Consider the following 26,884-nt stretch of genomic DNA (forward strand, 5'->3'; position numbering starts at 1 on the left):
ATATTGAATTAAGGCCCATTCTAATGACATTATTTTAACTTAATTCTTAAAGACCCAATCTCCAAATACAGTTACCTTGTGAGGTACTGGGGGTTAGAAATTCAACATATGAATTTTGAGGGAACACAACTCAGCCCATGACGCACCCATAAAGGTGGAGAAGCAAAGGGAAGAATTTGAAATTACCACCCATTAAAGGCTTACAATAAGGGCCCTACAGATCTAATACTCAGACCTTTGAGAAAAAGGGGGAGTTGGTCTGGTGCTTATATCTCAGAGCTCAAAAACCTATACCACAGCACAAATTTAAGATGCAAATATCTTACTACCAAGATGGAATAAGAATTACTGGAGTTTACAGTCTTCTCTGAAAAAACATAGAAAAAAACCAAATAATAGACAAAAAATATATAAAACCAATTTTTAAGACATCAAGCAATGAAGGGCAGTAATGTTGGAAAATGGGAAACAAATGAGCCCTGTGATTACACAGCCTCCTGAACTGAGAGAGATCCCAGGTTGTGACAAAGAGAGGGGGACCCCAGGCAGGGTCTGGTAGAACTCTGTATGTTGAGGAGACAGAGTTGAGAGTCTGGGGAAACGGAGGCAGCTAGCATTTTCAGGACAGAGTGCCAGAAGTGAAGGAGCTGCCCCAGAGAGAATTCTGGAGATCTGTAGAGGGTGCCCCTTAGTATTCAGGAGAAAGCTGGTCAGCACATCCATGAGAGGAAATGACTCAAAGCCGGGGAAAAACCACTGAGAGGATTAGAGAGAAGAGCATATAACACTCACACAAGGCCAGAGAAACTGCCATCTTACTAGCTAGACTGGAGAAGCTCACAATTCACAGGACGCTGGGGACAATACTGAGAAGGGCCTTGACTCAGTAGTGTGCAATAGTTAAGTTAACCCAAGACTAATCGTGGCTCTGGTCATTCCTAATTTTTTTTTTTTTTTGAGGCAGAGTCTCGCTCTGTCACCCAGGCTGGAGTGCAGTGGCACGATCTTGGCTCACTGCAAGCTCCACCTCCCGGGTTCACGCCATTCTTCTGCCTCAGCCTCCTGAGTAGCTGGGACTGCAGGTGCCTGCCACCATGTCCGGCTAATTTTTTGTATTTTTAGTAGAGATGGGGTTTCACCGTGTTAGCCAGGATGGTCTCGATCTCCGGACCTTGTGATCCGCCCGCCTCGGCCTCCTAAAGTGCTGGGATTACAGGTGTGAGCCACTGTGCCCGGCCCCCCCCCCCGCCTTTTTTTTTTTTTTTGGAGCCTTACTCTGTTGCCCAGGCTTGTGTGCAGTGGTGGGATCTCAGCTCATTGCAGCCTCCACCTCTTGGGTTCAAGTGATTCTTGTGCCTCAGCCTGTCCAGTAGCTGGGATTACAGGCATGTACCACCACGCCTGTCTAATTTTTGTATTTTTAGTAGAGTTGGGGTTTCACTATGTTGGCCAGTCTGGTCTCGAACCCTTGACCTCAAGTGATCTGCCCACCTTGTCCTCCCAAAGTGCTGGAATTACAGGCATGAGCCGCCACACCCGGCCCATTCCTAATAAGTCTCAAAAGCAAGACCAAAAGAGGATCCAACCATTTCCAAGTAACTTAACTATATCTGAGAACAAAGCTCAAGAATATTTATTGAGATACAGAAAAGATGCAGAACTCATCAAGGTGAAATTCACAATTTTACTAGGCATGAAAAAAGGCAAAAAACAACAACAACAACAAAAACTGATGCATAATGAAGAGAAAAATCAATCAATTGAATTGGATCAAGAAGTGATACAGAGGCTGGGCACGGTGGCTTATGCCTATAATCTCAGCACTTTGGCAGGCCGAGGTAAGTGGATCATCTGAAGTCAGGAGTTTGAGAGCAGCCTGGCCAACATGGTGAAACGCTGTCTCTACTAAAAATACAAAAATTAGTACCGGGCATGGTGGTGGGTGCCTGTAATCCCAGCTACTCGGGAGGCTGAGGCAGGAGGATCACTTGAACCTGGGAGGCGGAGGTTGCAGTGAGTGGCGGTCACACCATTGCACTCCACTCCAGCCTGGTGACAAGAGTGAAACTCTGTAAAAAAAAAAAAAAAAGAAGAAGTAAAGGACATTAAAGCCAGTTACTATAACTCTATTTCATATGCTCAAAAAGATTTTTTTTTGTAAAGACCTAAAGTGAGTTTCTACAGGTAAAAATGACAATGCCATCAAAACAGCTTTATTTGTAATAGCCAAAAAAATGGGAAATAATCCATATGCCATGAACAGGTGAATGGTAAACCGTGGTGTATCTGTACAATGAAATACTACTCAGCAATAAAAGGGGCAAAGTATTGATACACACAACAATGTGGATGAGTCTCAAAATAATTATGCTAAGTGAAAGAAACCGAGCAAAAGGAGAACACACAAAATGTGAATTCACCTACAGTGATAGAAAGTAGATTAGTAGTTGCCTGGAGATGGGAGTGGGTAGGGATTACAAAAGGTTATGAGAAACTTTTCAGGGGATGGTTGGACTTGTTCATTATCTGGATTGTGATGATGGTTTCATGAATATACATACATCTGTCAAAACTTATAAAATTGTACACTTTGAATATGTGATGTGCAGCTTATGGCAAGTTAATTGGTAAAGCTGTATTTTTTTTTTAAATAATGATTGACAGGAGTGTTTAAGGTCTGTCTCAAAACTTATCTCTTCTGGAGGCTGCTACACACCAACCTGTACTTGTACTTTATACTCAGAAACACTAATGTGCAGTTGCCCTATCAGTAACTTGCTTTGATGGGTAGTTCTACCCACAGACTCTTAGTAGGAACATTAGCAGCTAGCATTTGCCTTCAGCTTTGCTTCCAGTGACTCTTCTCTTCCTAACAGGATTTTTGCAGCCCCAATAACCTCATATGATATTTAGAGGGTGAGATATTTAGTATTAATTCACAGCATTCTCACTAACTGGGTCAATGGAAAGAAGTATGGACAAGGAATACAGTCTTGCTGAAATTGTGCTGCCGCTAAGTAGACACACATAGAGGTAAAGCGCTCACTGCATGGTAATGGTCTGTTCTCAGCTTTCTAGTATTGCATTGTCTTCTGTAATTGTGCAGTATCTTCTGCCTGGAAATCTTCCAACTCTCCCACAAGATATTTTATTTTACAACATCCATGTAAAGAAAAGTTAAAATAGTCATGACTTGCTAACCTCAATAAGGTCAACAACAGGTTTTTAAAATCTTTCTTTCTCTTTCCTTATCTCTGCCATTGTTAAATAATTCAGGAAATACCTAGCGAGGGCTTAGTGCGGGGCACACTTAGCTGTCATGTACGTCTACAGCCTTGTTATTCAAAGGGTATTTAGTGGAGGACAGTCTCTGCATCGGCTGGGAGCTTATTAGAAATGCAGAGTCTTAGTTCTCCTCCAGACATACAGGATCAGTTTCTGCATTTTAACAAGATCCCTTGGTGATTTGTATGTACATTTAAGAAGCTGTGTTCTGGAGAATTCTTCTTAGCTCTACCACTTAAATACTGCCATGACTTTGAGAAAGAGACTTCACTTCTTTAAGTCATTAACAAATGAGGGGTGTGGGAGTAATAGTAGAACCCACCTCATATTTGTTGGGAGGATTTAGTGAGACAAACCTTCTAAAATCCTTAACATACTAGCTACTAAGTGCTTTTAAAAAATTACCCTTTATTATTATTATTATTTTGTAGTTGAAAGAAAAAACACTTTTTTAATAAAACATCGATCATAGGCACTTCCTCTCTAGTTTATTTATGTGTTCATAATGACGGCAGAGAGACATTATTGCAACAAACATGAAAAATAAATATGACACTTGATCCCGAATTAGAACTTGAAGAAGAAAGGAAATGAGGGAAAGGGAATGTCTTAGCTTGAACTCTTATAACAAAATACCACATACTGGGTGGCTTAAACAACAGATGTGTATTTTATTTAATTATTTTTTTTGAGATGGAGTCTCGCTCTGTTGCCCAGGCTGAAGTGCAGTGACACGATCTCGGCTCACTGCAACCTCCACCTCTTGGGTTCAAGCAATTCTCCTATCTCAGCCTCCCGAGTAGCTGGGACTACGGGCACACGCCATGACGCATGGCTAATTTTTGTATTTTCAGTAGAGACAGGGTTTCACCATATTGGTCAGGCTGGTCTCGAATTCTTGACCTCAGGTGATCCGCCTGCCTCGGCCTCCTGAAGTGCTGGAATTACAGGCAGGAGCCACTGCGCCCGGCCTCAGAAATGTATTTTCTTACAGTTCTGGAGGTTGTGGTGCCCGCATGGCTAGGTTTTGGTGAGGATGCTCCTCCTGGCATGCAGATAACTGCCTTCTCATTGTGTCTTCACATGCCCTTTACTCCACAGTTGCACCTGGAGGGGGAGAGAGATTGTTCTTTCTCCTTTCTCTCTCTGTTTTTTTTTTTTTTTTTTTTTTTGACGTGGAGTCTCACTCCGTCGTCCAGGCTGGAGCGCAGTGGCGCGATCCTTGGGTCACTGCAACCTCCACCTCCCTGGTTCGAGTGATTCTCCTGCCTCAGCCTCCGGAGTAGCTGGGACTACAGGCACGTGCCACCACGCCCGGCTAATTTTTGTATTTTTAGTAGAGATGGGGTTTCATCATGTTGGTCAGGCTGGTCTCAAACTCCTGACCTCAAGTGACCCGCCCGCCTTGGCCTCCTAAAGTCCTGGGATTACAGACATGAGCCGCTGTGCCTGGCCTCTTCCTGTCCTTATAAAGCCACTAATCCCATCAGGAGGGCCCTACCCTCAACCATAATTACCCTCAGAGGCCTCATCTCCAAATACCATCACATTGGGGGTTAGAATTTCAACATAGAAATTTTGGGGGGATACAAACATTCAGTCCATAGCAGGGAATATGTTTGTTGATGCTGTTGTTATTCTTCCTGTAAGTGACACTATTGGACATTTGAATTTAAGTGATATAGAATTTGATAATGATGAATCTCTTCCAGGTGAAAAGCTGAACAAAAACTTTCAGAAGAGGACTGGATGTATTTAAGGGCTTTAAACAATAATAATGTTGCTATCCAGAGACTGCTGTTGCTGATACCCCCTTCCTTTTGCTCAGTTTCCTCAAGAAAGGGTCTCTGGGTGGCTGGCTACCTTGGACCCCCTAACTAATAAGCTCCAGGTTATACTTGTTCCACTCAAGTCTATTTATTTTATTATTATTCTTTCCTTAGGGACGGGTCGCATTATGTTGCCCAGGCTGGACTTGAACTTCTGGGCTCGAGCAATTCTCCCACCTCAGCCTACCAAGCAGCTGGGACTACAGGTCTGCACCACTGCACCCCACCCATTCAAGTCCACATCCCCAGAAACGAGGATAATGCTTGGCACAAGGTAGGCATTTAATACATATATGTTGAATGTATGAATAAATATACTGGCTCTTTCTCAAGGCCAGAGAAGCCTCTCTTCATCTTCCCAGGACTTCCATTACCTACTTTTTTTCTGGAGGGCGGGGGGGAATAATTTCAACCTACAGAAAAGATGCAGATGCAAGAATAATGAAAGGAACTCTTAGATACCCTTTAACCAAATTCACCAATAATGTTTTAGTTTGTAAAATCTAATTTGAAATAATTTTTTTAAAAATTTATTTTCTCCTCAAATTTCTTTTTCTTTTTCTTTGGCTTAAGAATCTTCATGTTTTTATTTATTTATTTATTTATTTTTTGTTTTTGTTTTTTTGAGACAGAGTCTCACTCTGTTGCCCAGCCTGGAGTGCAGTGGCATTATCTAGACTCACTGCAACCTCCACCTCCTGTGTTCAAGTGATTCTTGTGCCTCAGCCTCCTGAGTAGCTGGGATTACCAGTGCACGCCACCACGCCAGGCTACTTTTTGTATTTTTAGTAGAGACAGGGTTTCGCCATGTTGGCCAGCCTGGTCTCGAACTCCTGACCTCAGGTGATCTGCCTGCCATGGCCTCCCAAAGTGCTGGGATTACAGGCTCATGCCTGTAATCACTGCACCCAGCCTCAAATTCCTTTTTTACCATGAAATAATTTCAAATTTATAGATTTGCAAGAAAAACACAAATAATACAAAGAACTACCTTATACCCTTCACCCAGATTTCCTGATTATTAATCATTTACATTTGTCTGTTTTTCTTTCATGTACCATTATTTTATTCCTGATACATTTGAGATTAAGTTGCAGACATGTTGACAAATTACCCCTAAATACTTCAGTGTGTATTTCCAAAAACAAGGATACTTTTCCATAGAACCTCAATACTCTCATCAAAATCAGGGTATTAACATTGCTACAATACTTTAATCCACAAATTCCACTTAAATTTCAACAATTGCAGGGATAGCATTAGGAGAAATACCTAATGTAGATGACAGGTTGATGGGTGCAGCAAACCACCATGGCATGTCTATACCTATGTAACAAACCTGCACGTTCTGCACGTGTATCCCAGAACTTAAAGTATAATAAAAAAATTTTCAACAATTGTTCAATAATGTCACTTATTGAAAGGAAGAGCAACAGCATCATCAACAAAACTTTTCCGCCTTTCCTTTCTGTTTCAAGATTCAATTCAGGATCATGCATTGTATTTAGTTGTCATGTCTCTCTCTCTCTCTTTTTTTTTTTTTTGAGACAGGGTCTTGCTCTGTTGCCCTGGCTGGAGTGCGGTGGCATGATCTTGGCTTACTGCAACCTTCGCCTCCTGGGTTCAAGTGATTCTCCTGCCTCAGCCTCCCGAGTAGCTGGGATTACAGGCATGTGCCATCATGCCATCACCCCTGGCTAATTTTTGTATTTTTAGTAGAGATAGGGTCTCACCATGTTGGCCAGGCTGGTGTCATGTCTCTTTAGTTTCCTTCAATGCTTAGTTTTTTCCTCATTTTTCATGATCTTGCCATTTTTGAAAAGGATAGGTCAGTTATTTTATAGTATTTCCCTCAATTTGGGTTTGTCTGATGTTTCTTCATGTCTAGATTCAGAGTATGGATTTTTGGTAAGAATGCTATAGAAGCAATACGATTTTCCTCTCAATGCCTCACATTAGGAAGCACAAAATACCAATTTTCCTCATTAATAATGATAGTAACTTTTTTCACACTGTTAAGATGATGTTTATATTTCTCCACTGTAGAGTTCATTAATAACAGATATTTTATTGAGCTTTACTTTTAAATTTTATACATATGTATCTTTTTTTCATCAAAATTTTAATGAGCTTAACATCTATGGATAATTCTTGTCTGAATAATTTATTACAGCAGTGGTTGCTGAGTGTTATTTTCTAATTCTTTTTTTTCCTTTTTTGAGATGGAGTCTCACTGTGATGCCGAGGGTGGAGTGCAGTGGCACAATCTCAGCTCACTGCAACCTCCGTTTCCTGGGTTCGAGTGATTCTCCTGCCTCAGCCTCCTGAATAGCTGGGATTACAGGCACCTGTCACCATGCCTGGCTAATTTTTGTATTTTTAGTAGAGATGGAGTTTTACTATGTTGGCCAGGCTTGTCTCAAACTCCTGGCCTTAAGTGATCTGCCCATCTCAGCGACCCAAAGTGCTGGGATTACAGGTGTGAGCCACCATGCCCGGCCTTGTTATTTTCTAATTTGATCATTTCTTGTACATTTATTAGTTGGCATTGTACTATAAGATAGATCTTTTCTTTGAATATCAGTATGGGCTTATGGATTCTTATTTTATTGAATCAGTTATGCTCTATTATTATCCTTAACTATTACTTATTACAGCTTTATTGATGTATATTTGACATACAAGAAATTGCATATACATAAAGTGAAAAGTTTGAAGAATTTTGTGTACCTATAAAGTGAATAAACTGTTACACTAATCAGTGAAATAAATATTTTCATTAATCCCTAAAAGTTTCCTTGTCCTTCTTAGTAATCCAATCTCCCTTCCTCTCTCTCCATCCTCAGGAAAGCACTAATTTGATTTCTGACACTGTAGATTAATTTCCATTTTTTCTAGAATTTCATGTAAATGGAATTCTACAGTATGCATTTTTGGAGTGAGGGTTCTGGCTTCTTTCACGTGGTGTAATTATTCTGAGATTAATCCATGTTGTTGAATCTATCAGTGGTTTCTTATTTTTATTGGTGAGTAGTATTCCATTGTATTGATTTACCAAAGTATGTTCACCCATTCACTTATTCTTGGGTATTTATTTTTTTTCTAGTTTGTGACTCTTACTAATGAAATTGCTATGAGCAAGTAAGAAGTCTCTGTACAAGTCTATGTCTGTGTCTGTATGGATATATTCTTTGATTTTCTTGGTAAAATATCTAGAGTTGGAATGGCTGGATTATACAGTAGATCTATGTTGAACTTCTATGAAACTGCTAAGTTATCAAAGTATTTGTACCACTTTACAGTCTCCTCAGCAATATATGAACACATTCATTGTTTGATGTCTGCACCAATACTTGGTATGGTCATTCTCTTTAATTTTATCCATTACACAATGGGTATACTGGTACTACTTTATGGTTTTGATTTTCATTTTCCCAGTAACTACTGATGTTAAACATTTTTAAATGTACTTATTTACCATTCTTGTATCTTCTTCAGTGAAGTGTCTGTTCAAATCTTCTGCCCATTTTTACTGGGTCATTTGTCTTCTTCTTCTTGAGTTGTAAGAATTTCTTTTTCTTTTTTTTTTTTTTTGAGACAGAGTCTTGCTCTGTCGCCCAGGCTGGAGTAGCTGGGACTACAGGCGCCCGTCACCATGCCTGGTTATTTTTTTGTATTTTTAGTAGAGACGGGGTTTCACTGTGTTGGCCAGGATGGTCTTGATCTCCTGACCTTGTGATCCGCCCGCCTCGGCCTCCCAAAGTGCTGGGATTACAGGCATGAGCCACCGTGCCCGGCCTGAGTTGTAAGAATTTTTCATATATTCTAGAAGTAATTTATCAGATTGTATGTTTTGCAAATATTTTCTCCACTCCTGCCTTTTCATTTTCTTTTCTTTCTTTCTCTCTCTTTTTTTTTTTTTTTTTTTTGAGGCAGAATTTCACTCTTGTTGCCCAGGCTGGAGTGCAATGGCATGATCTCAGCTCACTACAACCTCTGCCTCCCGGGTTCAAGAAATTCTCCTACCTCAGCCTCCCGAGTAGCTGGGATTACAGGCATGCACCACCACACCCGCCTAATTTTGTATTTTTAGTAGAGATGGGGTTTCTTAATAGTGTTATTGGAAGAGCAAAGGTTTTTGATTTTCATGAAGTCAGCTTGGAAGTAGATCCTCCAATCGCAGATGACTACATCCCAGGCCAACAGTTTGCCTGAAACCCTATGAGAAACCCTGAGCCAAAACCACCCAGCTAAGCTACTCCTGGCTTCCTGACCCTCAGAAACTATGTGGAATCATAAATGTTTGTTGTTTTTAGTTACTAAGTTTTGGATAAAATGATATGCTGTGATAGATAACTAATATACACTGGCTTAAAGTGAATATGCCTTGTAATTTTCTTCATATATAAATTTTTAATAATTTCAACTATTATTTTATATTCAGAGGGTACATGTGTAGGTTTGTTACCTGGGTATATCGCATGATGCTGAGGTTTGAGGTATGTATGATTGATTCCATCACCCAGGTACTGAGCGTAGTACCCAATAATTAAATTTTCAACCCTCCCCTCCAATAGTCCCTAGTGTGTATTGTTACCGTCTTTATGTCCGTGAGTACCCATCGTTTAGCACCCACTTACAAGTGATAACATGCTGTATTTGGCTTTCGTGTTTCTGTGTTAATTCACTTAGTGTAAGGCCTCCAGATGCATCCATGTTGCTGCAAGGGAAATTATTTTATTCTTTATTATGGCTGTGTAGTATTCCATGGTGTATGTATGCCACATTTTCTTATTCCAGTCCATGATTGATGGGAACCTAGGTTGATTCCATGTCTTCACTATTGTGAATAGTGCTGCAATTAACATACAAGTGCATGTGTCTTTTTGGTAGAATTAATTATTTTCTTTTGGGTATATACCTAGTAATGGGAGTGCTGTGTTGGCTGGTATAGTTCTAAGTTCTTTGAGAAATCTACAAACTGCTTTCCACAGTGGCTGAACTAGTTTATATTCCCACCAACAGTGCATAAGCTTTCTCTTTTCACTGTAGCCTCACCAGCATCTGTTATTTTTTGATATTTTAGTAATAGCCATTCTGACTGGTATGAGATGGTATCTGGTGTGGTTTTGATTTGTATCGATTTGTATTTCTCTGATGACTAGTGATGTCGATCATTTTTCATTAGTGACGGTGAGCATTTTTAGTTATTTCAGTATATATATGTTATATAAAATATATATTTTTTGTTTGGTGTTCATTGAGCTCCTTTGATCTGTGGGTCTTTTTTTTTTTTCTATTGCTTTCTTCAAGTTCACTAACTTTTTCTTCTGCAGTGTCTGGTGTTAATTTAATCTGGCACATTTTTTCCAGAGACTGCATTTATTATCTCTTGAAATCAGTTTGTGCCTTTTAAGTATTTTAGCATGCTTACCATTTACCATACTCTTTACCATGCTTACCATTTACATTCTTTTATATGGAGTATGTTTACAGTAGCTGTTTTAATAACTATTAATTTTATTGTCTGTGTCATTTCTGTGTCTATTTCCGATCATTAATTTTATCTTTATTATAAATCACATTTTCTTGCTTTTTTGCATGCCTTTTAAATTTTATTGGATGCCAGATATTTTGAATTTTATGTTGTTGGCTGGGGTTGTTTGCATTCCTTTAAATAGTTTTGGTCTTTTTTTTTTTTGGCAGGCAGTTATCTGGAAACAATTTTATTTTTTTAAGGTTTGCTTTTAATTTGTTAGGTGGGTCCTAGGGCTAATTCGGCTCTAATACTGAGGCAACACCTTCTGAAAATTCTGCTTGATGCACCATGTGTTAACAGGCCTTCCCACACTGGCTAGTGGCAATATGAACTCCTGACCTGTGTGAGCTCTGGTGATTGTTTCACTTGATTCTTTCTGATGTTCTCTCCCTGGCCCTGGGACGTTTCCTCAAACACATGTGCTAATCAGTGGGCAGCTAAAGAATCAAGGGCAATCCTCTATAGATCTCCGGAGCCTTTGCTCTATCAGCTCTCTCTTCTCTGGTAATCTGGTCTTTAAATTCTAGCTGTCTTGGTGTCCCCAAGCTCTAAACTTTGTTTCCTCACCTCAGGGAACCCTTGTGGATTCCCTTTAGGGGCTTCCTTCCTGAGCTGCACCCTGTAAGCTCTCTCTAGGCCGTGAAGCAATTTTAGGGCTCACATTGTTTGCTTTCTTTCAAGAATCACATCCCTGTGCCATTTTCACATATCTGAAAACCATTGTTTCATATATTTCTCATTTTTAAATACTATATATTTATTTATTTATTTGTTTTTATTTTTTAAGACAGAGTCTCACTTTGTCACCCAGGCTAGAGTGCAGTGGTGTGATCTCGGCTCACTGCATCCGCAGCCTCCCGGGTTCAAGCGATTCTCCTGCCTCAGCCTCATGAGTAGCTGGGATTACAGGCACCAGCCACCACACCTGGCTAATTTTTGTATTTTTAGTAGAGACGGGGTTTTACCATGTTGGCTAGGCTGGTCTCGAACACCTGGCCTCTAGTGATCCACCCTCCTTGGCCTCCCAAAGTGCTGAGATTACAGGTGTGAGCCACCGTGCCTGGCTCAGATTTTACTTTTCATAGCAGTTTTAGAATTTCAGAACAATTAAGAAAGTAGTACAGAGTTCCTATATACCCCACATCCAGTTTTCCCTCTTATTGTTTTACATTTGTATGATACATGTCATAATTAATGAACCAACATTTACACATTATTATTAGCTAAAGTCCGTAGTTCTTTTTATTTCCTTAGTTTTTACCTATTTTTTTTCTTCTTTTCTTTTCTTTCTTTTATTTTTTTGAGACGGGTCTTGCTCTGTCACCCAGGCTGGAGTGCAGTGGTGTGATGATGGCTCACTGCAGCCTTGACCTCCCAGGTTCAAGTGATCCTCCCACCTCATCCTCCTGAGTAGCTGGGACCATAGGCACACACCACCACACCTAACTAATTTTTAAATTTTTAGTAGGGACAGGGTTTTGCCATATTGCACAGGCCAGTCTTGAACTCCTGGGCTCAAGCGATCCACCCATCTTGGATTCCCAAAGTGCTGGGGTTACGGGCGTGAGCCACCATGCCCAGCCCCTAATGCTCGTTTTCTACCTTAGAATCCCATCCAGGATACTGCATCACTTTTAGTTGTTGTATCTCTCTAGGCTTCTCCTGGCTGTGACAGTTTTTCAGACTTTCCTATGGTTCTGATGACCTTTACAGTTTTGAGAAATACTAGTCACGTGTTTTACAGGATGTCCTGCTATTTGACATACAGACCAATGGAATAAAATGGAGAATGCAGAAATTAATCCATATATTTATAGCTAACTGTTATTTTTTATTTCCGTAGGTTATGGGGAACAGGTGGTGTTTGGTTACATGAGTAAGTTCTTTAGTGGTAATTTGTGAAATTTTGGTGCACCCATCACCCAAACAGTATATACTCTACCCTATTTGTAGTCTTTTTACCCTCACCCCCTCCACCCCTTACCCCAGAGCCCCCAAAGTCCATTATGTAATTCTTATGCCTTTGCATCCTCATAGCTTAGCTCCCACTTATGAATGAGAAGATACGATGTTTGGTTTTCCATTCCTGAGTTACTTCACTTAGAATAATAGTCTCCAGTCTCATCCAGGTTGTTGCAAATGCCATCAACTCATTCTTTTTTATGGCTGAGTAGTATTCCATCATATATATATTGTGAGATATATACATCACAATTCTTTCTATATATACCATATATACCACAATTTCATATATATATACACATGCATACACACACACACACACACACACACACACACACATACCACAATTTCTTTATCTACTCGTTGTTTGATGGGTATTTGGGTTGGTTCCACATTTTTGCAATTGCGAATTGTGCTGCTATAAACAGGTGTGTGCAAGTATCGTTTTTGTATAATGACTGGGTAGGTAGCCAGTAATGGGGTTGCTGGATCAAATGATAGTTCTACTTTTAGTTCTTTAAGGAACCTCCACACTGTTTTCCATAATGGTTGTACTAGCTTACATTACCATTAGCATTGTAGAGGTTTTCCTTGTTCACCACATCCACACCAACATCTATTATTTTTTGATTTTTTTGATTATGGCCATTCTTGCAGAAGTAAGGTGGTATTGCATTGTGGTTTTGATTTGCACTTCCCTGATAACTAATGATGTTGAGCATTTTTTCATATGTTTCTTGGCCATTTGTATATCTTCTTTTGAGAATTGTCTATGTATGTCCTTGGCCCACTTTTTGGTGGGATTGTTTGATTTTTTTCTTGCTAATTTGTTTGAGATTGTCGTAGATTCTGGATATTAGTCCTTTGTCGGATGTATAGATTGGGAAGATTTTCTTCCACTCTGTGGGTTGTGTGTTTACTCTGCTGACTGTTCCTTCTGCTGTGCAAAAGCTCTTTAGTTTAATTAAGTCCCAGCAATTTATCTTTGATTTATTGCATTTGCTTTTGTGTTCTTGGTCATGAAATCCTTGCCTAAGCCAATGTCTGGAGGGGTTTTTCTGATGCTATCTTCTATAATTTTTATAGTTTGAGGTTTTAGATTTAAGTCCTTGATCCATCTTGAGTTAGTTTTTGTATAAGGTGAGAGACGAGGATCCAGTTTCATTCTCCTACATGTGGCTTGCCAATTATCCCAGCACCATTGTTGAATACAGTGTCATTTCCCCATTTTATGTTTTTGTTTACTTTGTCAAAAATCAGTTGGCTGTAAGTATTTGGCTTTATTTCTGGGTTCTCTATTCTGTTCCATTGGTCTATGTGCCTATTTTTATACCAATACCATGATGTTTTGGTGACTATGTCTTTATAGTGTAGTTTGAAATCAGGTAATGTGATGCCTCCAGATTTGTTCTTTTTGCTTAGTCTTACTTTGGCTATGCGGGCTTGTTTTTTGTTCCAAATGAATTTTAGGATTGTTTTTTTCTAGTTCTGTGAAGAATGATGGTGGTATTTTGAGGGAAATTGCATTGAATATGTAGATTGCTTTTGGCAGTATGGTCATTTTCATAATATTGATTCTACCCATCCATGAGCATGGGCTGTGTTTCCATTTGTTCATGTTGTCTATGATTTCTTTCAACAGTGTTTTGTAGTTTTCGTTGTAGATGTCTTTTACCTTCTTGGTTAGGTATGTTCTTGAGTATTTTATTTTATTTTATTTTATTTTATGTTATGTTATGTTATGTTATGTTATGTTATGTTATGTTATGTTATGTTATGTTATGTTATGTTATTTTATTTTTACAGCTATTGTAAAAGGGGTTGAGTTCTTGATTTGATTCCCAGCTTGGTTGCTGTTGGTGTATAGCAGAACTACTGATTTGTGTACATTAATTTTGTATTCGGATACTTTGCTGAGTTCTTTTAACAGTTCTAGGAGCTTTTTTGAAGAGTCTTTAGGGTTTTCTAGATGTACAATCATATAAGCAGCAAACAGTGACAGTTTGACTTCCTCTTTACCGATTTGGATGCTCTTTATTTCTTTATCTTGTCTGATTGCTCTGGCTAGGACTTCCAGTACTATGTTGAAGAGGAGTGGTGAGAGTGGGCATCCTTGTCTTGTTCCAGTTCTCAGAGGGAATGCTTTCAACTTTTCCCCATTCAGTATTATGTTGGCTGTGGGTTTGTCATAGATGGCTTTTATTATATTGAGGTATGTCCCTTGTATGTTGATTTTGCTGAGAGTTTTAATCATAAAGGGAAGCTGGATTTTGTTGAATGCTTTTTCTGCATCTATTGAGATGATCATGTAATATTTTTGTTTTTAATTATGTTTATGTGGTGTATCACATTTATTGATTTGCATATGTTAATCCTGCATCCCTGGTATGAAACCCACTTGATCATGGTATATTACATTTCGATATCTTATTGGATTAGGTTAGCTAGTATTTTGTTAAGGATTTTAGCATCTATGTTCATCAGGGATATTGGTCTGTAGTTTCTTTTTTAGTTATGTCCTTTCCTGGCTTTGGTATTAGGGTGATACTGGCTTCATAGAATGATTTAGGAAGGGGTCCTTCTTTCTCTATCTTGTGGAATAGTGTCAAAAGGATTAGTACCAATTCTTCTTTGGATGTCTGGTAAAATTCAGCTGTGAATTTATCTGGTCCTGGCCTTTTTTTCTTGGTAATTTTTAAGTTACCATTTCAATTTTGCTGCTTGTTACTGGTCTGTTCATGGTATCTAATTCTTCCTGATTTAAACTAGGAGGGTTGTATCTTTCCAAGAATTTACCCATCTCCTCTAGGTTTTGTTGTTTATGTGCATAAAAGTGTTCATAGTAGTCTTGAATAATCTTTTCTATTTATGTGTTCTCAGTTGTAATATCTCCCATTTCATTTCTAATTGAGCTTATTTGGATTTTCTCTCTTGGTTAATCCTGCTAATGGTCTATCAATTTTATTTATCTTTTCAAAGAACCAGCTTTTTATTTCATTTATCTTTTCTATTTTTTTTTTTTGTTTCAATTTCATTTAGTTCTGCTCTGACCTTGGTTATTTCCTTTCTTCTGCTAGGGTTGGGTTTGGTTTGTTCTTGTTTCTCTAGTTCTTGAGGTGTGACTTTAGATTGTCTGTCTGTGGTCTTTCAGATTTTTTGATGTAGGCATTTAGAGTTATGAACTTTCCTCTTAGCATCACCTTTGTGGTATCCCAGAGGTTTTGATAGGTTATGTGACTATTATCATTCAGTTCAAAGAATTTTTCAATTTCCCGCTGGGCGCAGTGGCTCACGCCTGTAATCCCAGCAGTTTGGGAGGCCAAGACAGGCAGATCACCTGAGGTCAGGAGTTCAAGATCAGCCTGGCCAACATGACGAAACCCTGTCTCTACTAAAACTACGAAAATTAGCCAGGCATGGTGGCGGGCGCCTGTAATCCCAGCTACCTGGGAGGCTGAGGCAGGGAGAATTGCTTGAACCTGTGAGGCGGAGGTTGCAGTGAGCCAAGATCATGCCACTGCACTCCAGCTTGGGCAACAGAGTGAGACTCCATCTCAAAAAAAAAAAAAAGAATTTTTAAATTTCTGTCTTGATTTCATTGTTGACCCAATGATCGTTCAAAAGCAGGTTATTTAATTTCCATGTATTTGCATGGTTTTGAAGGTTTCTTTTGGCGTTGATTTCCAGTTTTAGTTCCTGTGGTGTGAGAGAGTGCTTGACATAATTTCAGTTTTCTTAAATTTATTAAGGCTTGTTTTGTGGCCTATCATATGGTCTATCTTGGAGAAAGTTCCATGAGCTGTTGAATAGAATGTATATTCTGTGGTTGTTGGCTAGAATATTCTGTTAATATCTGTTAAGTACATTTGTTCTAGGGTATAGTTTAAATCCATTGTTTCTTTGTTGACTTTCTGTCTTGATGACCTGTCTAGTGCTGTCAGTGAGGTATTGAAGTCCCCCACTATTATTGTGTTGTTGTCTATCTCATTTCTTAGGTCTAGTAGTAATTGTTTTATAAATTTGGGAGCTCCAGTGTTAGGTGCATATATATTTAGGATAGTGATATTTTCCTGTTGGACAAGGCCTTTTTATCATTATATAATGCCCCTCTTTGTTTTTTTAACTGCTGTTGCTTTAAAGTTTGTTCTGTCTGATATAAAAATAGCAAATCCTGCTTGCTTTTGATGTCCATTTGCATGGAATGTCTTTTTCCACCCTTTTACCTTAAGTTTATGTGAGTCCTTATGTGTTAGATTAGTCTCTTGAAGGCAGCAGATGGTTAGTGAATTCTTATCCATTCTGCAATTCTGTATCTTTTAAGTGTAGCACTTAGGCCATTTACATTCAATGTTAGTATTAAGATATGAGGTACTATTCCATTCATCATGCTATTTGTTGCCTGTATACCTTTTTTTTTTTAAATTGTATTTTTGTTTTATAGGTCCTGGGAGGCTTATGCTTTAAAGAGGTTCTGTTTTGATATGTTTCAGGATTCATTTCAAGATTTAGAGCTTTTAGTAGTTGTTGTAGTGTTGGCTTGGTAGTGGTGAATTCTCTTAGCATCTGTTTGTTTGAAAAAGACTGTATCTTTCCTTCATTTATTAAGCTTTGTTTAGCTGGCTATGAAATTCTTGGCTGATAATTGTTTTGTTTGAGGAGGCTGATGATAGGGCCCCAATCCCTTCTAGCTTGCGGGGTTTCTGCGGAGAAATCTGCTGTTAATCTGATAGGTTTTAGTTTATAGGTTACCTGGTGCTATTGACTCACAGTTTTTAAGATTCTTTCCTTCATCTTAACTTTAGATAACCTGGTGACAGTGTGCCTAGGCGATGATTTTTTTGAGATGAGTTTCCCAGGTGTTCTTTGTGCCTCTTGTATTTGGATGTCTAGGTCTCTAGCAAGGCTCGGAAAGTTCTCCTTGATTATTCCCCCAAATATGTTTTCCAAACTTTTAGATTTCTCTTCTTTCTCAGGAACTCTGATTATTCTTAAGTTTGGTTGTTTAACATAATCCCAGACTTCTTGGAGGCTTTGTTCATATTTTCTTTTTTTCTTTGTCTTTGTTGGATTAGATTAATTTGAAAACCTTGTCTTCAAGCTCTGAAGTTCTTTCTTCTGCTTATTCGATTCTATTGCTGAGACTTTCCAGGGCATTTTGCATTTCTATAAGTGTGTCCATTGTTTCCTGAAGCTTTGATTGTTTTTTATTTATGCTATCTATTTCCTTGAAGATTTCCCCTCTCATTTCTTGTATCATTTAAAAAAATTTCCTTACATTGGGCTTTGCCTTTCTCTGGTGCCTCCTTGATTAGCTTAATGATTGCCCTTCTGAATTTTTTTTTGGGTAAATCAGGGATTTTCTTCTTGGTTTGGATCCATTGTTGGTGAGCTAGTGTGATTTTTTTTGGGTGTTAATGAACCTTGTTTTGTCATATTACCAGAGTTGGTTTTCTGGTTTCTTCTCATTTTGGTAGGCTCTGTCAGATGGCTGAAGGCTGTTGTTCAGATTCTTTTGTCCCATGGGTGTTCCCTTGATATAGTACTCTCCCTCTTTTCCTAGGGATGTGGCTTCCTGGGAGCCAAGCTATAGTGATTGTCATCTCTCTTCTGGATCTAGCCACCCAGCAGGTCTACCAGGCTCTGGGCTGGTACTGGGGGTTGCCTGTACAGAGTCCTGTGATAAGAACCATCTATGGGTCTCTCAGCTGTGGATACCAGCACCTGCTCTGGTGGAAGTGACAGGGGGGTGAAATGGACTCTGTGAAGGTCCTTAGTTTTGGCTGTTTAATTCACTATTTTTGTACTGGTGGACCTCCTGCCAGGAGGTGGTGCATTCAACAGAGCATTAGCTGTGGTAGTATGGGGAGGATCAGGTGGTGGGCGGAGCCCTAGAACTCCCAAGAGTATATGCCCTTTGTCTTCAGCTACTAAGGTGGGTAGGGGAGGACTATCAGGTGGGGGCAGGGCGAGGCATATCTGAGCTCAGACTCTCCTTGAGCGGGTCTTGCTTGGGCTGCTGTGTGGGATGAGGGTGTGGTTCCCAGGTCAATGCAGTTATGTTCCCAAGAGGCTTATGGCTGGCTCTGCTGTGTCATTCAGGTTGTCATGGAAGTGGGGGAAAGCCAGCAGTCACAGGCCTTACCCTGTTCCCTTGCAACCAAAAAGGCTGGTCTCACTTCCACTCTTCCCCTGTATCCCCACAATAGCACTGAGTTTGTTTCCAGGCAGTGGGCAAGCAGAGCTGAGAACTTGCCCCAGGCTACCAGTCTCCCAGCTGCAAAAGCATGCAGGGCTTTCGTACTTTCCGCCTGTGGAGTCTGCACACCAGATTCACACCCTGCCCTGAGTTCTGGCCGGGAGACTTCTCATTTGGTTGAAATTGTTACAAAGTTCAGCTGGAGGTTTCCTTCTCCCTGTGGCCTTTTCCAAGTACCCCCAGGCAGCCTGCTCCAGGGACCCCTGTGAGGCAAGGCAGAAATGGTTTCTTAGGAGACCCAGAGAGCCCACAGGGCTTTTCCTGCTGCTGTTTCTACCACTGTGTTTTGTTCTGCTCTCTAAATTGATTCAGCTCCAGGTGAGGTTAGAATCTTCTCCCATTCGCTAGACCTTGAGATTCCCCATTGAGGGTGTATGTTCGAGGGCAGACAATCCCCCTTTCCCATTTTCACCGTTTGGGCACTCACAGTATTTGTGGTGTCTCCCGGGTCGTGCAGGAGCAATTTGCCTCCTTCAGTGGGTCTGTGGGTTCTCTCAGCTTTCCTGATTTATTCCTGCAGTAGTTCTAGAGCAAAAGTTCATGAAGTGAGCCTCCACATGCTGCTCTGTCCGTCCGCGTGGGAGCTGCAATCCAGTCCTGCCTCCCGTCCACCGTGATCCTCTCTAGTCCCCACTATTTGAATTTAACTGATGTTTTCCTCATGATAAGACAGGTTTGTGAGTTATTGGGAGGAAGACCACAGAGGTAAAGTGCCATTTTCATCTCGTCATATCAAGGATACGTATTATAAACACAGTTTATGGTTGCTGATGTTCACCAAAATCTCCTTATTTATGTTTGCAGGGACTAGGATATTTATTTTATACTTTGAGTTATAATCCAATACTACTTTATTTATTTTTTTGCTTAATTCCTTCCATTTTTGGCTACTGAGAGCTCTTTCAGTGGCTCCTGTTGTTATAGAACTGAACTGGGGTCCACTTGTCTGGCACAGTAAAAACAGATGCCTACACTGAGGTTTTTGCAGTGCTAGAAAGGAAGATGTTTATTGCATAGTACTACACAAGGAAGATCAGACAGCTAAATGCCCAAGTCTAGACTCCCCAATGAGTTTTTTAAGGCAAGGGTAAATTTCAGAAAAGCAGAAGTTATAGGTAAAATAATAAATCAATATGGTGGTTACATGTTGGTTTGAGCTTAAAAGGGCAGGATATCTTGCAGTGGTGGTTTACAGGTTGTAGATAGATTCAAGAACTTCTGATTTGCCATTGGTTAAGAAGAGAAGCTTTGTTTAAAAATTTGGGGTCCGTGGAAAAATGTTAACTGGCCTGGCTAGGGGAACTTTTTTTCTCCAAGCCCCTCAGAAAGAAACAGAATAAAGGGTGAATAAAGTTTAGTCTTCACGTCCTCTTTATTGGGGGTATACGTGCCAATGGATCCATTTGTGGGGGTCCTAAGTGGGAGTACAAGCTCATGAAAGACAACTCAGTGACATACGTTTTTATTCTTAGTTTCTATAGGGAAAGCAAAAATCTCTGGAACTGTAATTTCCTTGGCTTTTGTTTTAGGCTACGATTTCCTTCTTGCTTAACAAGTTACTTAAATTCACTTCTGGGGCTAACTAGATGCCTGGAATTTCGCTTGAAGGAATTTCAGGATTTTCCTTTGTGTTCATGCTTGAGATTTACAGGATCCCCAAAAGGGACCCCCTGCTGTGTCTCACAGTGTCTATAGCAATGTGGCTTTTTGTTTTTATTTTCAGCTCTTCCTTACTTTTTGACACAAGATGCTCCAGGCTTATCTTGTATATTTCCTCCCCCAGGCTTAAACTAGCCATTTCTTTGAGGATCCCTTATTCCTTTTGTTGGAAATGGTTGGTGCTTGCCTGTAATCCCAGCTACTTGGGAGGCTGAGACGGGAGAATCGCCTGAACCCGGGAGGCGGAGGTTGCAGTGAGTCAAGATTGTGCCATTGGACTCCTGCCTGAGCAACAGAGCAAGATTCCGTCTCAAAAAAAAAAAAAAAAGAAAAAAAAAAGAAACCAAGTTCTGGGACCTAATGAGTTTTTGTTGCTACTTCTTTAGGCCTTCTCAGCTTCAGAGAAAAACTATATGTGCATTTACTAGCCCATGCATACATAGGTATCTATACATATCTGTATCTATATTAAGCTAAGCATGAATTTAGATTGATACATAGAACTGAAATCCATTATTACTACCCAGGTTACTCTTGATTTTTTTCTAGTTTTATTGAAATATAACTGCAAATAAAAATGTATATATTCAATATTTCCAACATGATAATTCGATGTATGTATACATTGTGAAATAATTGCTACAACCAAATTAACACATTTATCATCATCCATAGTTACTATTTTCTATGTAAGTGCTGTGTGTGTGTGTGTTTGTATGGAGAAGACACTGAAAAACTGTTCTTTTATCAAATTTTAAGTAAACAACACAGTATTATTAACCATGGTCACTTTCTTGTACATTAGATCCTCAGAACTTATTCACTTTATAACTGAAAATTTGTACCCATTGACCAGTATCTCTTCAGCTCCTCCACCCCCAAGCCCTTGGCAGCCACCGTTCTAGTCTCTGCTTCTATAAGTTTGACTTTTTGGGAAATGAAATCAGTGTCTCAAAGAGATATCTGGCTGGGCGCGGTGGCTCATGCCTGTAAACCCAGCACTCTGGGAGGCCGAGGCGGGTGAATTGCTTGAGTCCAGGAGTTTGAGACAAGCCTAGGCAACATAGCGAAACTCTGTCTTTACTGAAAATACAAAATGTTAGCCTGACATGGAGGCACGTGCCTGTAATCCCAGTTACTCCGGAGGCTGAGGTAGGAGAATCACTTGAGCCCAGGAGGTTGAGGCTGCAGTGAGCTGAGATCACGCCACTGCATTCTAACTTAGGTGAGAGAGTGAAACACTGTCTCAAAAAAAAAAAAAAAAAAAAAAAAAAAGAGCTGTCTGGGTTTTCATTGCAGCATTATTCACAGTAGCCTAGATATGGAAACAACCTAAGTGTCTATGAACAGATGAATATTTATAGAAAATGTGCTATGTAGATACAATGGAGTATCATTTAGCTCTGAAACAAGGAAATCCTGCCATTTGTAACAACATGGATGAAACTGGAGGAAATTATGTTAAATGAAATAAGACAGACACAGAAAAATGGGTACTATATGATCTCACTTATATGTAGAATCTAGAAAATTATCTTTAAAAATTAAATTTTATTTATTTCTTTGATCAGTTAATCTAGTTACATGGCTAAAAAAGTAAAAGGGGCATGTAGTGAAAATTCTCCCTTCCTTTCCTTTCCTACAATCACAGACTGCCTTCTGAAAGTGACTAACGTTACCACTTTCTACAGGGGAATTGAGATGAGAAGATCATCTTTCTTTCTTTGTTTTTTTAGAGATAAACTCTCACTCTGTTGTCCAGGCTGGAGTGCAGTGTTGCGATCCTAACTTATTGCAGCTTTATACTCCTGGGCTCAAGCAATCCTCTTGCCCTAGCCTCCCAGGAAGCTCACTACAGGTGCGTGCACCATGCCTGGCTAATTAAATTTTTTTTTTTTTTGTAGAGATGGTGTCTTGCTATGTTGCTCAGGCTGGTCTCGAATTCCTGGCCTCAAGTGATCCTCTCACCTCAGCCTTCCAAAGTGCTGGGTTCACAGGCTTAAGCCACTGCACCCTCTACTTTAATTTTATCTTACAACAACAATGTTGAAGATAGTACCAGTTGAAGAAGATAGTACCAATACCATTTTAAAAGTAAGGAGAATGGGAAATAAAAATTTGTTTTTCTTTTAAATGAGAAAATTGTATAAATTCATAATGTAGACAATTTGAGAAGCACTACGGAAACACTCAAAGTTTAGAGTCAGGATTTGACTGTGGTATAAATCTGATCTCTGCTGGTTCATAGCTATTTAAACCTGACATATCTTTTAAGCAATCTGAGTCTCAATATTTTCATCTGAACATTGGACTAATAATACCTATTTAATAGAGTTGTTAATTATATTTGTAATGTGCTGAAGCCAGTGCCTGCCACAAACAAATCGCTCAAAGAATGGTAACTATTATAATTTTAAGTTGTTTTAGTGGTTGAGCATAAAAACAATTGTTTTATTGTATGTCAGTAATATTTATGTAAGTTAGCCTCAGATATTGGATGGAGAGATTGCTAGCTATTATTTTCCTTAGCCATCTAGCCAGGTCCATTGCTGGAAAGTGGCATGTTCCTTATTTTAACAGCAAATCTTTGAAGGAAAATTCTGGCTTCCTCCTCTCCATAGAAATGCAAAGTCAAATTTTTGGAAAATAAATGCTAAAATTGTCTTTTTTTCCTCCAGTAACTATATATTGGAGCTCTCTTCAAGTATATAAAGCATTTTTGGGAATGCCTTTATAAAACAGATAATTCATACCCTGAGAGAAAAACCTTAAACATGGATAAGATTCTAAATAAGTCTAAGGGGCAGTTTGGCAGTAAGAGAGGGCATTTCTGTCTACCTAAGTTGCTCTTGACAATGGATGTTTAAGCAGGGTAATCAAATGTGACTTCTATCATCAAAATTAGTAGGGCATGAAAAACTTTTATGAGCTCATTCATTACATTGCCTGTTTGAAAATATGATCTCATGTGCCTTCTTAAGAGTGGTCACTTTGGGCTCCCTCTGCAAAGCGAGGGTTTCAGATTTTCAGGATGTTGCTAAGCAGACCAGGATTTGCTAATCCTTATGAAAGTCATTTAATGTTTTTTATTTGTTTTGTTTTTTTGAGACAGGGTCTCACTCTGCTGCCCAGGCTGGAGTGCAGGGGTGCCATCAAAGCTCACTGCAGCCTCTAACTCCTGGTCTCAGTTGGTCCTCCCATCCCAGTCTCTTGAGTAGCTGGGACTACAGCTGTGCACCACCATGCTTGGCTAATTTTTGTATTTTTTTGTAGAGATGGGGTTTCACCATGTTGTCCAGGCTGGGCTCAGACTCCCCAGCTCAAGCAGTCTGCCCATCTTGGCTTCCCAAAGTGTTGGGATTACAGGTGTGAGCCATCATGCCTGGCAATGTTTGTGTTTTTGAAGGAGCAATAGACTTCTTGTATTTGGGTAGTCCCATTGTTAGAACTCTTTCTCTTTTACTCTTTTTCACTTGGGCAGTTGGTAAATAATTAGTGCTATTTTCACCAAAGGTCATATTCTTTTCCAAGTTTATCTTCTTGGTTTTATATTACTCCTATCTAGAAGAAGGAAGTCTCTAATTTAGTAGGAGTAAGTTAAGTAAGACAAAGAATGTATGCAAGTATTTCCAAATTTATTCATATCTAATTTTTTTTGTATTCAACAAATATAGCCATCAAATCGTAGATGTTGTAGCACACCTAGGGACACATATATAATATTAATAACACACATGCATTTGCTTTATTTTTCATCCTCAGGAATTTTCACTTCAACCTCTAATTTGGTCAAAAAGTCATTCATTTTTCTAATTACTCATCATGCAATGGTGTTTTCCCTGTTTATGTCTTATTTTAAACAATAATTTAGCAAGGGATTTCTAGCTAAATAAACCTCAATGAGCTTGTTTTTGATTTAGAACATGCAGATTTTATTTAATTGGTGAATCAATCTTTGTCTATTAGATATCCTCCTGAAGTGCAAAGTCTAGGGAACAATTTAATACCAGAGACTTGTCAGTTTGGATACACATGCTTCTATGGACCTTTAGAAATAAGATGCATATTTATCTGGCTAATTATGGCTTGGCAGATGTGTTGCTGAGGTCTGGTACATAGTCAGTTCTAAAGGTGAATTGTCAGCTAGAGGCAAGACTTCAACCAGTGCCCATCAGAGGAATGCACAAGTCCACAAATGCCAGGAATTAGCAGATATAACTTGAAGAGATAGTCTCAGGCTTTGAAGGACTAAATAAAAAGAAGTGGCTGATGATGTCAAATGGTGTTGGGGTTTCTCAATCGTTGCTAGACTTTAAAAACGCACAATTATCTGTATTAAATAAATGAAAATATTTGAGAGAAAGTGAAATCAGAGAAAATACTGATTTGGTCACTGTAGATACTGGGTTGATATGGAGCACTTTATATAACTTTGTATGTGTGTGAGCTTGTGTCTTATTTCTCTAACTTGTAAAATTCTGGCTGCTTCTATGTTATAATGCATCATGGTATGGACCAGAACCATAAAATAGGATTTTCCATGATGATGGTCATGTTCTACATCTGCACTGCCTAATATATAGCCACTAGACTCATGTGGCTGTTGAACGCTTGAAATGTGGCTAATGCAAATGAGTTATATAATTTTAAATTTAATTTCAATGAAAAGAACCACATATGGCAAGTGGCTACTGTATTGGACAGTGCAGTTCTAGTCATTGACATACAATAAATACTCCTTTTCTAAGCCCAAGTGAAAAAAATTGCTAGTTTCACATGCATTGTAGAGGAGTAGCTACTAAATACTTGTATTTCAAATGTAAAACCACAGAATTTTCTCCTCTTTTACACCAGAGTAAACTGTATCACTGATCTGAGCTGTATCACGTATTTGATTAGTATCATGTGTTTTTTCAGGTCTTTCTTTTTCTATGTCTTTTCTCCATGACAAAAATTAATAGCCCATGGTTTCTTTGTATTTCTCCTTGATTTAACACATGTTTATTTAGCATCTACTATGTGTCAGGCACTGTCTTGATGCTGGATATGCAGCAGAGAATAAGACTGATCTCAATGAAATTACTTTAACACACAATTATGTAAAAATTATTTGAGAACAATTATGGTAAGGTTTTAGTGTATTTATCTAGAAATAACTAAAAAATTGTTGATTGATTGAGAATTGTCACTGTCTACAAACTCTGTTTCTATTAGGCATTGACCTTGACTACTTTTTTTTTTTTTTTTTTTTTTGAGACGGAATCTCGCTCTGTCGCCAGCCTGGAATACAGTGGTGTGATCTCGGCTCACTGCAACCTCTGCCTCCTAGGTTCAAGTGATTCTCCTGCCTCAGCCTCCTGAGTAGCTGGGACTACAGGCGTGCCCCACCACGCCCAGCTAATTTTTGCACTTTTAGTAGAGACAGAGTTTCACCATATTGGCCAGGTGACCTTGACTACTTTAAAAGGGCTCTCAGTTTATTATTTTTGTTTTAGAGATGAGGTCCTGCTTTGTCACCCAGGCTGGAGTGCAGTGGTTTGATTATAGATCACTGCAGCCTTGAACATCGGGGCTCAAATGGTCTTCTTGTCTCAGCCTCTTGGTAGCTGGGGCTCCTCAGTTTAAATTAGGTATGTAGGAGTGGGGAAAAGATGAATGGTAGAGCAGGGGGAGAGAAAAAAGGAATAACATTTCTTCTTTAGTTCTATGTAACTCCAGTTGAATATAACCTCCTTGCAGGAGGAATTATCCTGTTCCCTTCCACAATCCTCCACTAGCCTGTGTCCCCAGCACCTGAGCTAGCGTCTAGTGAGCATTATAAAACAAAACCAAACACCACATAAAATCTTTCTGGATTTTCCTTTTAGATTGTTTCTAATTTTGTGAGGAATTTAATGATTTTTGAAATCGTTCTTCTACAGTCATTTTTGTTTTGTTGCCTTTTTTCCTTCAACCGATTAAATGCTTCAGGTGTCCAAACTGGAGTGGCTGAAAATTATTATAGAGCTGCCCCTTTCATCATCCCATTCCCTTCTTTCTTCCCCTTTTGGTCTTTGCTATGGTGTGAATGTTGGAGTCCTTCAAAAATTCCTATGTTGGAACCTAATATCCAGTGTGATAGTATTAAGAGGTGGGTCCTTTTGGGAAGCGATGAAGTAGTAAAGCCTCAGCTCTCATGAATGGGATTGGTACCCTTATAAAAGAGTTAATAGGGAATTGCCTTGCCCCTTCTGCCATGTATGGACACAGCAAGAGGTGCAATCTGTGAGGAATAGGCAGGCTCTCACCTGACATCAAATCTTTGGCACCTTGATCTTGGACTTCCCAGCCTTAAGAACTATGAAAAATAAATTT

General features: G+C 39.3%; 1 long non-coding RNA gene across 2 annotated transcripts in view; it reads left to right on the forward strand.

Annotated features, from left to right (window-relative positions):
* LINC01205 (long intergenic non-protein coding RNA 1205) overlaps positions 1 to 26,884 on the forward strand; it is an 85,178-nt gene that overhangs the window by 2,515 nt on the left and 55,779 nt on the right. The window contains exon 2 of one of the 2 annotated variants that reach the window (NR_109841.1): positions 5,229 to 5,388. This is a non-coding gene — a long non-coding RNA (long intergenic non-protein coding RNA 1205). Of the gene's footprint in view, positions 1 to 5,228; positions 7,907 to 26,884 lie in introns of those variants that run through there. The other variant, NR_109842.2, reaches the window with a different exon arrangement.

This window comes from Homo sapiens, chromosome 3 (genome assembly GCF_000001405.40).
Source record: "Homo sapiens chromosome 3, GRCh38.p14 Primary Assembly".
Lineage (NCBI taxonomy): Eukaryota > Metazoa > Chordata > Mammalia > Primates > Hominidae > Homo > Homo sapiens.